At 38.8% G+C, this 16,568-nt stretch overlaps 1 protein-coding gene across 13 annotated transcripts in view, besides 2 other annotated features; it reads right to left on the bottom strand.

The window, feature by feature from the left end:
• Positions 1-964: 964 nt before the first annotated feature.
• RALGAPB (Ral GTPase activating protein non-catalytic subunit beta) overlaps positions 965-16,568 on the bottom strand; it is a 106,016-nt gene continuing 90,412 nt past the window's right edge. For 6 of the 13 annotated variants that reach the window (NM_020336.4, NM_001282917.2, XM_047440314.1 and 3 more), the window contains 6 exons: positions 14,345-14,464; positions 12,591-12,727; positions 9,827-9,935; positions 8,976-9,054; positions 5,525-5,673; positions 965-5,049 (listed from right to left, as the gene is read on the bottom strand). In NM_020336.4, the coding sequence (NP_065069.1) occupies positions 4,856-5,049; positions 5,525-5,673; positions 8,976-9,054; positions 9,827-9,935; positions 12,591-12,727; positions 14,345-14,464 (788 nt within the window). In that variant the 3' untranslated portion in view covers positions 965-4,855. Of the gene's footprint in view, positions 5,050-5,524; positions 5,674-8,975; positions 9,055-9,826; positions 9,936-12,590; positions 12,728-14,344; positions 14,468-16,568 lie in introns of those variants that run through there. The other 7 variants (NM_001282918.2, XM_005260462.4, XM_047440315.1 and 4 more) reach the window with 2 other exon arrangements.
• Positions 1,891-2,091: a silencer, noted in NCBI's record as "peak4208 fragment used in MPRA reporter construct". NCBI's record gives its function as "represses an SCP1 promoter by STARR-seq MPRAs in K562 erythroleukemia cells {active_cell/tissue: K562}" and the evidence as "EXISTENCE:reporter gene assay evidence [ECO:0000049][PMID:32103011]".
• Positions 14,449-14,949: an enhancer, noted in NCBI's record as "H3K27ac hESC enhancer chr20:37193517-37194017 (GRCh37/hg19 assembly coordinates)". NCBI's record gives its function as "activates a minimal SCP1, AML or CMV promoter by ChIP-STARR-seq in naive H9 embryonic stem cells {active_cell/tissue: H9 hESC(naive)}" and the evidence as "EXISTENCE:reporter gene assay evidence [ECO:0000049][PMID:30033119]".

Here is a 16,568-nt window from a genome sequence, read left to right as displayed (position 1 = left end):
GGGAGAGCTGGGGCATGGTTTCAAGAGTCCTAGCCCAGCTGTGGGAAGGCCAGAATTCCTACAAGAGGAAGTCTGGGAAAATGGACTAGAATGAGTGTCCAAGAGGAGCAGTGCTCTGGCAGGGTGCTCCTGATGCAGGGCCCAGAGGCCAAGAGAAGGAGGAGCAGGTGGTCTGGGTTGGGGGTGATTCCCTGGAACTGGGTCCTGAAGGGGCTGCGGTCAGAGAGAGAGCTGAGCAGCATAGCTGGGAAAGGCTTGAGCACACATTTTTTTTCTGGCTACAAAACCTTTCCAGACACCAAAACAGGGCTACTGTGCAGTCAGCGTCTCTGGCCACTAGGCCCAGCTGGAGGTCCTGTTGTGCGTGGGCAGAGCAGGCAGAACACACAGTGCAAGGTAGGCAGCTCCCAGGCACAGTTCAGAGGGCACACGTCAGCAGCTCTTGGCAGAGGCATGGCCACAATGGTTCTCATGATTGTTTCAAGTGGTCCATTCACTCCACTATGTGTGATCCAGGCCTGAAGGCACTCATCTGGCTCCAAGATGCCCTTCACAAAGGGGGCAGTGGGCGGCAGGGGATGATCTCTGCACCTCCCCCCTTTCCTGACTGTCTAGTCCTACTAGGGCTCAAATTTTCTGCAAGCAGAGGGCACAGCTGGCACTTTCTTGCTCCCGTAACATAAGCATCTATCTCCTCAGCAATTCGCAGCCCCTGAAAGGTGAGCCTCTATTGGCAGTGTTTTAATTATACAAGCTCCTTCCAGCAGAGAAGGCCAAATACTTTTCTTAAAATTAATCAAACTTTGAGTATTTCATGAAATACTCATTTAATGTTCATTTAAACTACAGATCTAAATTATAAAGGGCAGCCAAAGCCGAGCAGACATCCCCTGAAAGGGTAAAATTAACAGCACCAGTGTAGGAGTAAAGCCTCAGCCTGTATCCAAAAGCACACACAAAGTTATTAGATAAGAATCTCCTTAAAATTTAATTGACTAAATGTATTACATTCAATATTCCATGGGCTTCTTCTGGACAAAGGATCGGCATAAATACAAACAAACCTCTGGACCTTCTTCCCTAACCGACGAAGATGAAACACAGGAGGCAAGGGGCACGGGCACGCCTTCATATTTACACTTTGCCTTTACTTTACAGTTCAGTGCCAGAAATATTTACAGAAAATACAATAAGAAAAAATCATGTCTTGGCAACATACTGAAATTCATACAAACTGTATATATGATTTCAAGCAAATAATGATACTGCTTATTTTTTAGCCACAACTGCCAAGCCCTTCAGAGGAGAAAGATGTCTTGGTCACTATAAGAGATGAGGACTTGGGAAACTTGGTTTGCTTCAACAAGTATTTACTGGGCGCCTACTATATGCAAGGCACTGTGGAATCCCAAATTATACCTTTTCCCTCACCATTAAAAAAAGAAAAGCATCTGAAGAACATGAGTTGATATTCTGAGAAACACACTAGAAGTACATGGCTTCTTTAGCTACTAAGAAACCCACCGTTTGATTCCACATCGTACGGATAGACCACCTCCAATCTCTCCAACTCAGGAAAAGAGGCTGTCATGGAAATCTTTAAAACAGACCATCTGACTCCAATGTCATTTCATGTAAACACAGCAATCAGTTCTTTTCAGGAAGAGAGAACCTGAATGGGCTTTAAAATGGTGAATAGAGAACTACTGCCAGCAGCAGTGTCAAATTACCTCCAATACATGTTTCTTTTTTTATTATTTATTTATTTATTTATTTTTACCACCTACCACAAAACACATCTTTGAGCAAGGCTAACTTCCACTTTGGGTAAAGCTCCACCTTCCAGAAGAAATGAATACTCTTAAAGACTCTGCCTCTCTAGAACCCAGTCTGCAGAGTCTGACAAATGCTTCCCTAGTGTATGGAGAAGGTAACCGTTCATGAAGGCCTCATACACAGAACCTGCAGCAGGTAACTGACATTACTGGCCAAAGGTGTGGGTACTTGTATTCATCAATGAATCCAGAGGAAAATGGGCTGCTCTGAAATAAAGGATCTGGAAATGAAGGAAAATGTGCATGAGTATGCGAGTGTGTGTGTGTGTGTGTGTGTGTGTGTGTGTGTCTGATTAGTCCTTTCAAAGGCCCAATGGATGGAAGAGGGTCTCAAGAGGAAGCCCTAGACAAAAAGGAAAGCTAGCTAAATAAGGAAAGGATTAACAAGGTAAAAGCCCTCCTCACTGTCCTCAGTGCTCCCAACCAGAGGGGAGGAGAAAAGCTCCCTCCTGCAACTTAAGAAGGCAGTAGAAGGGAAACCTTACTTACCACCTTCCTCTTCACGGAATGCCACACTCATCCACCCCCGGCATACCCAACAGATATAGCAACTGAACTGTTTAAGCCACAGACAAAAGTGGTCCTGGTTTCCCCCCAGAGGCTAGAACATATGCTGGCAAATTTATCAATGGACTACTAAATATTAATATTAGGTGCTAAATATGTTCCTCCAGTGCTATTCTACTCAAAGTGATTTTTAACAAAGGCAGGTGGGTAAAAATAGTGACCATGAACTCAAATCCATACTAGTGAAAGAGCTAAGCGTTCTTCCCACTCCCTCTTTGGGCAGATGTTATTGTGAGCAGAAGGAACCAGCGCCTGGTAAGGTATGGGTATCCCATATTCCACTGGCTCCGTACACACTGGGAGTTTCATGCCTTCAGGGGCTGCACATCCTTCCTTCCCTGGAAGACGAGGAAGTCTCCCAGATCACAAATGCATTCAACATGATTGTTCATGTATCAAATACATTGGAATTACAAGGAGTTGCCAGAATTTAGAGCTAACTGAAGGATCAGCAAGACCAACCCTCATACACACACACATACAGCACATTTTTCTGAAATTAACTATGCCAAAAGTAAAAGTTTGATCTGAAGAATCACACTGAAGAAGTACATCTGCATCAGTTATTTTTAACCTCTGGAATGCTGTAAGTTACATATTAATTTATAGCCTTCTCTGCTCACTTCAACTAGAACAAGAGCCCATTTTCCCCTCAAAATGTCAATCTAGAATTACCTTGAAAGTTATTAAACCTCATCTTCTTCCTGTGAACTACTAGAACATTTTTAGGGTAGAATTTGCTCATCTTTATCCTATATGCCCTCTCCCATGTTACCATCTGGAAACATCAATTTATTGCCCAGCTTAAAAAGAAAATCAACTATTGAATAATACTATAACCTGAATGGAAACTGGAGTCATAGAAAGAGGAGGTTATCTTTACCTGAGCTTAAAACAAACATGAACAGGTTATGGCAAACTTTAAACCAAGAGCTGCTATGCCCATATTTCTTGCTTATAGATGACAAAATGCACATTTCTGGAATAAGAGACATTTGCACAGGGAATTAGGTCTCACACTATCCCCACTCCGTAAGTAAACCACCAAAACATCAAACCAAACAGATGGTTGTAGCTCTGACCCACAGTCGACTGACATCAGAGTTCAAGTGGGAAAACACCCCTTATACAACTGTGATCATTCCTCTTTGGACTTTAAATATCACTTATTTTCTTAAAATAATCTTACTAAAGAAGAAAGCACATGAGAATAGGATAAATGAGCAGTGTATACTGTAGCACTGTAACAGGAATCCTTGGATGTTCTGGGTCTGGCCACCTCAAAAGTTTTATCCCTGCAGAAAAGTAGCAGCGAGGTAATAGAAGTATTTCCAAAACCTGGCAGGGATCTGTTGGCTGGCAAAGTCCAGAAAACATGACAACAGCCATTTCTAACAGTAGCCACCCAAAGAGGTGGTCACTCATGTTTGTCAATTATGAGGAAATCCAGTAGTTCTCTGGGAGAGATCTGAATTAGTAGCGTTGAGAGGCTATTCCTGAACCCCATATTAGAATCCTTCACAAACTACTGCAGTTTGCTGCTTGGTCCTGAAATAAGAGACAATGGATGAAACCAAATAATTTTCAACCCTTATTGTGAATTTACATTTCTTTAAATAATATTTAATCAATGAATCACAAATATTTAACCTGTCATTATGTCACCCCGCTGGACAATAATGGAGAGAGTGGGGTATCACTGCTGTCTTATAACTTTTAACCCCACAAACTTTATTTGCATCCCCATTAAAGGACAAGGCCATGCTCCATTTCTGATCTGTTCCTGGGTCACTCAGAAACTGAGGCTTTCAGACAGATCTGTGCAGTGATGAGAAGGACAACTTTTTGAAATGTGGAGAAAAAAATATGACATCTTTTAATGTCAGGCTTCTTATCTGAGCAAAAAACATGTATCATCTTTTCTTTTTGTCAGTGTGACAGCTGGATGACAAGAAGACCTACAACTGAGTAGAAGGCTGTGACTTCTTTCCTTCTCCTCCATGCTATCAACATGAGTCTTTAAATGTCCTGTAAGATTCTGAGATTTTAATTTTGAATACAACCTCCTAAAAAGTGAGGTAAAAAACTATCTTCAACTTCTATATTGCAAATTTGTTGATACTACCAATGCACGTGTTTAACTGAGATGCATAAAAGCCTTTCTCCTCAAAAGGCTTATGTTTAACTAAAATTGTCACTTTTAAAAGAAAGTTTATGGCTAAAATGTATATCATCATTATCAGCAGGAGTGTGATTGTGTCTGGGAGCCCATTTCACTAGATAGCCCAAAGTCTTCTATCAAATGGGTTATAATGTGTTTCTTCTATTCTGGTGATTAAACAGTAAGCTCTTGGGAGTGATTTGTTTTTATTTTTACAGTGATCACCTATCAAACTGTTCTGCTGTGTTATAGTTCCCAAACTGGAGTTCAACAGTCTTAGAAATTCAGTGGTCTAAGAACTGCAGTTCTTGAGTCCAACCTCCTGGAAAAGTGAAGTATAAAACTCTGGCTCCAGCTGCTTGTTCCGGTACTTGTTGACAATGTCGGTGATTTTCTGTTTCCGGCGGACATGGGGGGGACTGTAGGAGTCACTTTCCAGTCTCTTTCTTCTACAAATGTTAATTACAGTCTGCCTCACCAGAAAGCCTTGAAAATAGAGAGTTTTAAAATAAACGTTAGAAACTAGTCACTTACGTAGGTGAACTGTAAGTATTCAGGTGAACTATTCTCCGCATACTCAAAACTATTTCATTCAATTTGCAAACTTCCCATCCCCAGAGAGATAGACATAGTGCTAAGATAAAACTGTCAGAAGAAACACACAATGACAAGGAAAAGGAGAATCAAAATCTATTCTAAAAACCTATTTTCTGTCCTGGATTACAAACAGCTATCTTCAATATTTTAATACTAGAAGTTAGTGAGGTTTTACTTACACTTACTAGATTAAGGACAGATTTAAAAAGAACGAAACATGCTCCCTTTTTAACAAGAGCCATACCATTTCCTACATGTGGAAGCTATTAATTATCACCATTTCCTTATTTTTACTTCTTTTTGGTTTATAAAAATGATAAAGAAAAAGAAAATTTAACTCTTCGGCCACATATGAAGACCTTACCAAGAGCTCGCCTGCTGACAATCATCCCATCCACAAGAGGGATGACCATATTAAATTTTCCAGTGGCTCCTTGAATTTTTATCCGGAATAATCCAGTGTTTAAAGGGTGGATGAAGATGACAGGAACTTCTTTTTCAAGAGTTGTAGATCTTAAGAAAAGAAAATTGTTATCTCAGACACCCAAGAGTTGAAGTCCCCGAGACACCCAAGAGTTGAAGTCCCCCACATATAGCCTAAGATTAGTAAAGGGACCTGTTGCTTGGCAGTGGTCTGAGAAAAGCCAAGGGGTCAGTGTGCTCAGAATCTGCTTTCTGGGAATCTATGCTGCTACCCCCTATAACATCTGGTCCTAAAGGTCCATTACTGGGTCAAGCTTTCTAAGCTAACAGAAAGGAGCTGAAAAAATATATATGCTTGGAAAACCAATAGGGACACTGGGTGGAAGGAGAGGCCAAGAGTACTCTGCTGCATGGAGTTAAGAATTTAGCAACCAGCTATGGGACTTTCACTTTAGTTCCTCTTCTTATAGGGAACAAAAGTGTGGCCGGCCAGAGTACAAGGAATTTCAGCATAGTCAAGGCTGATAATCCCAGAGGAGAAGCAGGAACACAGCTTCGGCCCATGACAGGAATCCCCGATATAATTTTTTTTCAGGGTGGGGAAGGACGTTGGGAGAGCCATTAATCTAAGCCAGCTGCAAATGTCCTTCTCGGCTATGGTGATAAATGGCCGCACTGTGGCAGGGCCAAAGCCCTCACAGCCTCTGGCAAGGCAGCAGATGCTAAAGTTGGCAACTGCTCCTATGGAGGGGCGAGTTACTCATTACACACCAGGGATAGGCCAACCCATCTAATATTACATGTTATTTGTGATGCTACATGTTGGGGTCTTTTTGCAACCCAATGAATTTTCTTTCTATATAGGTAAGGTGATTTTGGCCAAAGCAACACTGAATCAATCTTTCAAGACATTAAAAAAAAAAAGAAAAATCAATCCTTGAGTAATTCTGTCCCCAAGACAAATTATAAACTTTGCTAATCTACCAATAAAATATACATTTTACTGTCAAATTGTATTACAACCTTTGACCTAAAAAGATGAAAACTTGAGAGGCCGAGGCAGGAGGATCACTTGAGCCCAGGAGTTCGAGACCAGCCTGGGTAACATGGTGATACCTTGTGCCCAGTTTTGTTTTGTTTTTTTAAATTAAAAAAAAAAAAAGATGAAAACAACAAAGACAGTAAATGATAAGTAAGTCTCTTCTAATTAGTTCCAGAAAAGTCTACTCATGACTATTCTATAGTCTCTTCTTTAGCAAGTTAGTGTCATAAAGAAAAAAGGACTGTTCCAGATTAAAAGAGACTGAAGGAATTAAAACCAGATATATAGTCCTGGAGTGAATTCTTTACCAATTGTGAAGAATATTTTAGTAAAAATGAAGAAATTTGAATGTTGGCTATTAGATAATATTAAGAAAGTATTACTAACTTTATTATTGCGATGTTGTTTAGCTATCTGAAAAGTTTCTTACTTTTCAGATGCATACTGATGTATTTGGAACGTTAAGATATCTGTGATTTGTTTTAAAACACCAAAGCATATAAAACCTGGAAGTTTTAAGAATGACTTGCCCTCTTTTAGAAGTTTAAAATGATAATGCTAAAATAAATCATCTTTACTGACTTCAACAACAATCACCTAACAATATTAGAATAAATTCATCTTATATGCAATTTGAATCAGCTCACATAACTAAAAGGAACTTAAAATATCAAGTTTCAGGGTAGCTCTGTGATGAGAGAGATGCAGGGTCAATGCATTTGGGGTCAAAGGCCTAGATTCAGGTAGCTTTCTCCTGCATTTACTGGATGTGTGATACTAAGGAATAACCTCTTTGAGCCTATTTTATCCCACTAGTAAAACAGAAAATAACTGTTGAACTCTTAGAGTTATAAACCAAAAACAAGTAAGCAAACCTTGAAAACTACAAAGCCTATACAAATACATTGTTACCATTCTTAGAATCAGATTATTCTCTTTTTATCCTTCTTGTGTATGGGCAGGTAAAACAAATTTTAACCCAATTATAAAGTATTACATTTTGCTTAGAAACATATTTCCGTTAATTAGCTCATATGATTTAGGATATTTTAACTGCTATTTGGCCACACTGTTTTGGCCAATTTAACTCCATTATTTCAATCTAATATTGCTGCCCTACTATTACGGTCTTTATTAATATTTAATTGCCTCTACTTCTCCATTTTTCTTTTTGCTCTAGATAAATGTAAAATAGCAATTAATTATACTATTAAAACTCCTGCTAAAGCACCCAACATCACCAGTCATCAGGGAAATGCAAATCAAAATCATAATGAGATAGCACCTCATTCCAGGTAGGATGGTTATTTTCAAAAAAACCAAAAGAAAACAAGTGTTGGCGAGAATGTGGAGAAAAGGGAATCCCCTTGTATGCTGTTGGTGGAAATGTAAACTGGTACAGCCACTGTGGAAAACAGTATGGTTCCTCAACAAATTAAAAATAGAATGTTCATATGATCCAGCAATCCCACTTCAGGGTGTATATCCAGAGGAACTGAAACCAGGATCTCAAAGAGATAGCAGCACTCCCATTTTCACTGCAGCATTCTTCACAATAGCTAAGATATGGAGGCAACCTAAATATCCATCAATGGACGAATAGACAAGGAAAATGTGGTGTACACATACAATGAAATATTATTCAGTCTTAAAATGGAAATCCTGCCATCTGCAACAACATGGGTGAATCTAGAGTACATTACGCTAAGGCAGGCACAAAAAGACAAATTCCACATGATATTACTTATATGACAAATCTAAAATAAACTCAGAGAAGCAGAGAGTGGAATTCTAGTTGTCAGGAACTGCAGGGAGGGAAAAATGTGGAGGTATTAGCCAAAAGGTGGTATAAAGTTTCAGTTATGCAGGATAAGTCCTAAAGATCAACAGTATAGTACAGTGGCTACAGCTAATAATACAGTATTGTATACTTAAAAATTTGCTAAGAGGGTAGATCTTATGTTAAGTGGTTCTTATTACAAAATAATAATAATAATGAATTAAGTGGGCAGGAGAAAACTTCTGGAGATGGTAGAAGTGTTCAGGAATAGATTGCTGTGATGGTTTCATGCATATATACTTATCTCCAAGCTCATCAAGTTGTATACATTAAATACGTATAGCTTTTAACAAGTCAATCAGTTATACTTCAATAAAGTGGTTTTAAAAAAATCCATGCTATAATAATTTGATAACCTTGTACATTGTATACAAACTTCTTTCTTTGATCTTTTTTGTTTTTATTTCTAGTTGTCTACAACTCTTTCGTTTCATAATTCCTTATTTATTAAGCTGCAATCAATATGTTAAAAAAAGACACGCTGATGAACTTCAAGCAAATAGAGTGTACCTCAGTGAAGTGCTACTATTTGCAGTAGTTTCCACACCAGTACTGATCTCTGTCATCAGCTCTGAGAGGGGAAAGTTTTCTGGAAGAAAATAATAGCATTACAATTAATATCTCCCTCATTTTCCCAAACAGATAATAGGAAATCTAATTTTCTAATCGCTTTACATAAGTGAGTGGCAAATATATGGACTGTGCTGTCCTGAAATATCATCTTAATTATTCTCTACAAATTAAAAAATTCTCTCTCAAGACATTTTTTAGCTAATTTCATCTAAAGCAAAGAGTTTTTAGAAAATATGTTCTGTGATCTTTGAGGGCTTGGTTGAAAAGTAACTATCACACTTTCCCACAAACTCTGGGCTGGATGGGATTTTAGGCAAGTATATATTTCTAATGCTCTAATGTTGCTTATGTAAAAATCATGAGAAACTTACCCAGAGTGCAACTCTTAAGGACAAATTAAGCTTTATACTAAAACGAGACAGTAGGACATGTGGGTGGAGAGAGGGTAAGTGAAGTGCTTCCCCTTCCCCTTTCCAAAGGTCCTGGGATGACTGAGACCAACTGGCAACAAACCACTGACTGTGATGCCAACATGAATAGCCAAAAGCTTTGTATCTACTGGTCTCATCGAATCTTCACAACTATGAAAAAAGTACCAGGATTTAACAGAGGAGTAATCTAAGGCTTAAAGAAACTGAGTAGTGGAGCTGGGGTACAAACCAAGGCTTGCTGAACTCCAGGACTAGCTCCTGGCCACACCAGGCTTATGTGCCCACTCCCTGTAGACATTTAGCAAGTCACTGTCATATATTGCCATTTTATTTATGGACAAAGTCCTCATACAGTACCTATATCATCATAGCGTTCCACCCAGACTACAGAAACTCTTGTCTCAGGTCCAAGGGGAGGAACAGGGCGACCCTGAGGCAGCTTCCTCATTCTGGAACTGGGACTGAGCTACATGAAGAAGAAGAAGACAGAGAGCGGGAAAAACAACAGCAACAAAAAACTGGCTTAATAAAACTACCCAGTCATTCATTTGTCAAGGTGCTCAGTGACCAAGTATCAGGTCATGGAAAATCACTTTAGGAAAAAGTGTATACATTTGCAACAAAGCTCTTCTTTGGCTCCTGTTCATCAGTCTTAACCTAGGACAAGGCTTAAAATTGTCAAAGAAAAAAAAAGGAAGGAATACTGAATAATTATAATTTGCATTAATAAAAACAAAATTTACACACAGTATCTTAATGAGGGCTTAAAAGATTTGAGTCTATCTCTGTTAGGGCCAGAAAGCAGTATCCTTCCCCATCACAGCAACATCACTACTTGTCTGGGGATCCTAATCTCTAAAATGTCCCATCAGCAAGTTATTCCTAGATTCCAGACCAAATGTCTCCTACTGCAATTTATGCTTAATTCCTTTTTCTCATCAGTAGAAAGAAAAACGAGTTGTTTGGGGCTTCATTACCATGCAGTGTGCTTCTGGCTTCCTGCCACCCTAATCAACTCTTAAGTTTCACTGCAAGGTTAACAGGACTATGTGGCTCCCCTTTAGCAAACTGGTACCCTGAGCTGCACCTCTTTTGAGGCATGCAGCAGAGCTAAGTTTGTGCTAAAGCCCTAAACAAAGCTCATGTGTACAGAGGGAAGAATCTCATACTTGAGGTGAATTTTAAAATTAAAACTACTTTATTAGCACAGAAATATACATGTCTTTACCAGATGACCAGAGTCCATGGCAAGTCCCCCCGGATAATTATATCTACTCTGACATTCACAGAAAATGTCCAGACCAAGAGATTTCTCCCAAACTAGTGACAAACATCTGGCCATATTCACAGACTACTTTCTTAGTATCAAGGTCCCTATTTAGCTTTGACTCTCTCTCTAACTTCTTCCATCTCTGACCTCTAGCCCTAGATTTAAAGAGCTCCTGTGATTAGGTCAGGTCTACTTGGAAAATCTCCCTTTTGATTAACTCAAAGTAACCCAATTAAACCCACAGGATCCCTTTGCCAAATAATGTAACATAATCACAGTTATCCTATCATAGTCACAAGTTCCACCCACACGCAAGGAGAGGACACTGTACACAGGCAAACGTCGCTGGGGGTTACCTTAAAATTTTGCCCAACACCCTGGCGTTTTTCCTGCAATCTTGCTAAACTCACCTCAATAGTTCTAGTGGATTTTTAAAAAGATTCCTGAGGGTTTTCTACTTACATGATCATGTCATCTGCAAATACATACAGTTTTACTTCTTTGTTTCTAATCTTTATGTACTATGTTTCCTTTTGTCTTATTTCTCTGTGTAGGCCCCTCCTCTACCATGTTGAACGTAAGTGGTGAGAACAGGCATCCTTGCCTTGTTCTCCACCTCAGAGGAAAAGCATTCAAGAATAATGTACAATGTATAAGTATAATGTTAGCTGTAGGTTTTTAGTAGATGCTCTGTATCAAGTTGAGAAAGTTCTATTCATAGTTTGCTGAGAACTTTTCTCATAAATGAGTACTGAATTTTTGTCAACTGCGTTTTCTCCATCTATTGAGATAACCATATGGTTTTGCTTTGTTTTTTTTTTGTTTTTGTTTTTTTGTTTTTAGTCTGTTAGTGTCTGCAAAGTACAGTATAAGTGAGAAACAAAAACATGGTGCTTTATCTGGGTTCTAAGGAATAACTATGCTGGCATTCAGAAAATGAGTATAAGGGCAGCTAATCACTGAATACTAGTTCTGTCCACAAATCTCAAATAAAAAAAACTTTTAAAGTAAGTATTAGATTTGGCTAAAATCTTGCATTGCTATGCAATACTGACTGATCATCTCTAAACTGTATTCTGTAAAACCTTTTAAAAACTCCTGATTCTCAAATCAATCTACTCCAGGGACTATTACACCACCTGGCATTTTTTTCCTAAATCAATTTTAAAGGTAAAAACCTCCCCGTATTCTCTTTTAAGCATACACTTACATTAAAAATAACTTTCACTGTGGAAGGAAGCTAACCTAAAATCCTGTACAATGGAGGAACACCTTTAGTCAAGCTGACACTTCTGTCTTTGTTATGTTTTGTTCTAAGTCAATCTTCCTACACTTCTGACCTGATCACAGATAAAGTAACATTTGCTGATAAGGTAAGAAAAAAGATAAAGCAAAAAGCTCCTCTTGTAGTAGGTGCTGTGTTCCTCACTCAGAATATTTATCCATATACTGAGTTATTCTCCCTAATGTTCCTATTTTTATATGGTCAGACTTGTTTAAGATGAACATTGCAAGATTAAAGATAAAAAAACATGTAGTTACTGCAGTAACTTTAGTGGATATTTCAGGGACAAAATTAAAACCTAGGCTTAAAAAGGAACAGATGAGAGAATCAAGTACGGGACCAGAATGGTGAAATCAAGAGAAACCACAAAGGCTGTCTCAGAATGAACTATTTGTTACAGGCTGAAAAAGAGAAAATCGTGAGAATTTTATTTTAAAAAATTAAGTTACTAAGGAATCAGTACTCTGATATAAATACTCTCTGGGTTAAAAGCTTTTCAGGCAGGATTCTATAATTACCCTGATTTCACTACAAAATTTTGGAGACCTATCAACAAAGTAACTTACCCTCTGTGAGGAATTAAGATTGTCTGTATGATTGGGGAAAAGCTCAAGTGTCAGGGATGGCTGTTTCAGAATTCCTGGCATAAGATCCATATTTGAATCACTATCTTGGTCCGAGATGTTACTTTCCAATGAATCAGCTATGGGGTAAAGGAAAAAAAGCAACTATAATACATACCACTTATTTGGAGCAAGGCTGTTAAAACTAATTATGCTCACCAGTCTAACCTAAATCACTTAAACAAAGCATTGCTTCGAGAGCAAGGGCTGACAAACTTTTTTCTGTAAAGGATCAAGTACTAAGTATTTTAGGCTTTGCTGGCTATACAGATCTCTCGCATATTCTTCTTTATATTTTATTTATAACCCTTTAAGAATGTAAAACCCATTCTTGGCGGCATTTGGCTTGTGCCACTGTGGTTTGCCAGCTCCTGCTCTAAAGGATAACCAAAATAAGACTAGAAAATATTTGACGTTTCAGATGTAGAATATAATAAATGCCATTATTACTCTCTGAATTATTTAGATTATATATTCAATCATGTAGCATTGTGCCAAATAGGCACTGGGACATCCAGAAGCTACAGAAGATCTAGTCTCTGTGATTAAGAGCAATCTGGTTGGAGATAAGTACACAGAAAGTTATCCTCCACCCCATCCAAAAAAATCCCCAAATATCAGAAATAGGAGGAAGCTGAGTTGGAGTGGGCACAGTTGGCATAGGAGATGTTTCACAACAGGAGACAAAGACCCAATTGCAGGAGCTATAGAATAAGGACGAGGCTCTAGCTCTGGGAGGACTTGTCTGGTACTAACAGGCTGGGCCAGAGAAACCAGGCAGGTATGTCCCCAAAGAGGACGGACAGGTTCTGGCTTCTGGAATTATAAGTAGTAAACCAGAACCTTGACGGGAAGCCCAACAGCTGTTATAATTCAAACCTAAACCATGGAAGGTCCAACCTTCCAGGAACACAGCCGGCCCCAGAGAGTAAGACAGGGAGGGGCCTAGAGTGAGAAATCAAGGGTCCAAGTACAAAGGTTAGGCAGCTACCAAGGTAGGGCACAACAAAAGTCATTAGTCTGGAAATAAGACTGAAATCGTGATGTATAGTATCCCATCCTACAAATGATCTCAAAGAAGAAGGTGAAGTTTCCCACCTACTGCCAGACCACCTACTCGGTCAGGCATGAACAAACAGGCTTAATTTGCAAAGAGCAAAGGTTCTGGGCAAAATAAAACTGTGAGTTCAGACTAAGAAGTAATAATTACTCCCAATTCTTAAAAAGTCTTGGACCACCATCTTTTCTAGGCTGCTGAAGTTTCTCTTGCTCAGTGTTAGAAGAATGGCCATATGCTATCATGAGATACTTCCAGTTGTAGGATTCTAGGTGGTTCCATGCAAAGGCTCTCATATGGGAATAGAAAAGTAGGTGAGGGATCACTCGTAATTAGAGAAAGAAATGAACTGGAAAATAAGCCTATGTATTGATTAATTAGATTAAAGAAAGCAAAATATCAGTTGAAATGGGATTCCTTCACTATTTAAAGATTATTAGAGGGTCAGTCTGCTTGTCTTTAACTACTTTCCATAAAAAAGTTAAGAGAAGACATCTTGTGCTTCTGCATATTGTTATAATGCCTTAGAAGCTAAAGAATGCCTTAGATCACTTCAAAATCTCTTCCAATGCAGTAATATCACACAACCCAGGAATATAAAAATAGATCCTAAAACAGGACCATGCAAAAATCATCTTACTTAAGGACTCCACAGGAGAAGGAACCACAAAAGCAATTTCTGTAAGGGCATCAGCATAATACAGCACCTTCTTCTGTCCATTGAAAATGCTAGCTCCAATATCTTCAGAGGAAATCACTTCTTCTGGGAAAAAGAAACACTACATTACCGCTTCAAAAAGTAGGAAAAAACCAGTATCATCTTGCTACATGAAATGTTAACTGGTTAATAAAGTGATAAATAGAATATATGTTTTCAACAAGAACCAATTAGTATGAAAGAATAAAATATAATGCTTATTAGATGTCTTTATTTTTAAATAATAAAATCTTAATTTCATAATTTCTGAAACGACTGTATATCAGACCACTTCTGATTAGCAGGGCTTTTAATTCAAGTGTATGAAGCAGATTAAGGGAGCAGTCCTTTGGATCCAGTAAATAAATAATCAAAAGGAAGACCATCCCAGTCCCTCAGAAGGGAGTTGGGCCAGAGAGACAGGCAGGCAGGCAGGCAGGCAGAGAGAGAGAGAGAGAGACAGAGAGAGAGAGAGAGGGGGGAAGAGGAAGAAGAAGAAGAAGAAGAAGGGAGGAGGAGGAGGAAAAGAGGAGGAGGAAGAGGAGGAGGAGGGAGGAAGAGACAGAGAGAGAGAAGAAGAGAGAGAAGAGAGAGAGTGCACATGTGCGTTATCTCTGGACTCTTGCTTTTAAGGCATTTCTATCCCTGGTCTCTCTCTATGGCTCCTCAAGTTGGCCTATGTTCCACCTTCCTCAATGGTCAGTGACACTGTATAAAAATGTACAGCCAGTTTTAGTAATAGTATCTGCTCTAAGCCAGGAAGACTGAATTAACAAAAGAAACATTCATGAGAGCTATATAGTTCTCAATTAAAATGAACTCAGTGTCCTACTAGCAATACATAAAAGACCAACAATCGGACCAAAAATTGGAAAGGGGAAATGGACAAGTACTTCTCAGGGAATAAATAAAAATATGATAAGATATGCTCAACCATTATTAAAAATTAAAAATTTCTCACCGAAAAAATTGGAAGATACCTAATTCTGGTGAAGGTATGGCAAATAGGAAGCTTTAGACAAGAGGTTAGCAAACTTTTTCTGTAAAGGACCAGACAGATAACATTTTAGGCTTTGTAAGCCACAGGGTCTTTGCCACAACTACTCGATTCTGTCATTGTAGCATGAAAGCTGTCATAGACAATGTATAATCTAGAGTGTGACCGAGTTCCAATAAAACTTTATTTACAAAAACAGGGCTTTAGTTTTCTGACTCCTGGTGTGGGCTCCGGGCAGGCACTTTGTATTTGATGTAGTAGATGCTGTGGTTACTATCCCAATAGCCACTCTATCCACCCCTATTCTGCAGCAGGCAAAATGTGCAGGTGGGACTGACCTCTGATACTAGTTCTAGCTTGCCTGTATCTCTCTACCAGAGTCATTCTATCTTTCTTGCCATAAGGACAGGCTTGGGATAGTCTAATCGCCATATAGTTCCGGATTCGGGGAGTAGGGAGTTCTGAGATCTGGCTAATCTCTCCTCTTCAGGCTGCTGTGGTATGTGAATGTAAAGCCTGGAATTGCCTTTCTGCACTATTAGAGAAGCCAGGCTGGGGACAAAGCCAAAATATGGAGAGCAAAGCTAAAGGAAAATTGTAAAGAAATAAAACAGGAATGCTAATCAAATGACACCAAAAACTTAACCAACCTCTGGAATTTTTAGTTACATGGGCAATAAATTATCTTTAAAATCTAAGGCAGTTTGGGTCACGTTTTCTGATACTTGCAACCATAAGTATCCAACTGATATATTTATCAAAAGGAAAAATGTGCACTGGGCATAGGCATTATCCACTTTAGAGAGGTAACACTAACTTTCCAGTGACCTCAGGAGCCCAGGAACAGAAAGCATTAGCCAGGTGGGGCAAAGGTCTTAAGTTTAAGTTTATACTTGCTCTGCTACTTGTTATCCTGATTACAGTTCCTCAGAGGATCTGCGGGGATGGGCAAGAATCCTCAGAGATGGTCAGCTGTTTACTACAAAGGTTTTGGTATAATATCCCAAGAATATAACCTTTAAGTGTGACTGTTTTGATAGCCACAGTTGGTAAAACACACTGGTTAATAGAAAACTACTTATTAGACAAAACATGCTTGTTAGGAAGCTGTATTGTTTGTATGGATGACCTATATTACACCATTTGTATAGAAAATTGAATCTTATGCAT

Source organism: Homo sapiens, chromosome 20, assembly GCF_000001405.40.
Source record: "Homo sapiens chromosome 20, GRCh38.p14 Primary Assembly".
Classification (NCBI taxonomy): Eukaryota; Metazoa; Chordata; class Mammalia; order Primates; family Hominidae; genus Homo; species Homo sapiens.
This window is presented reverse-complemented; position numbering and strand designations above follow the sequence as displayed.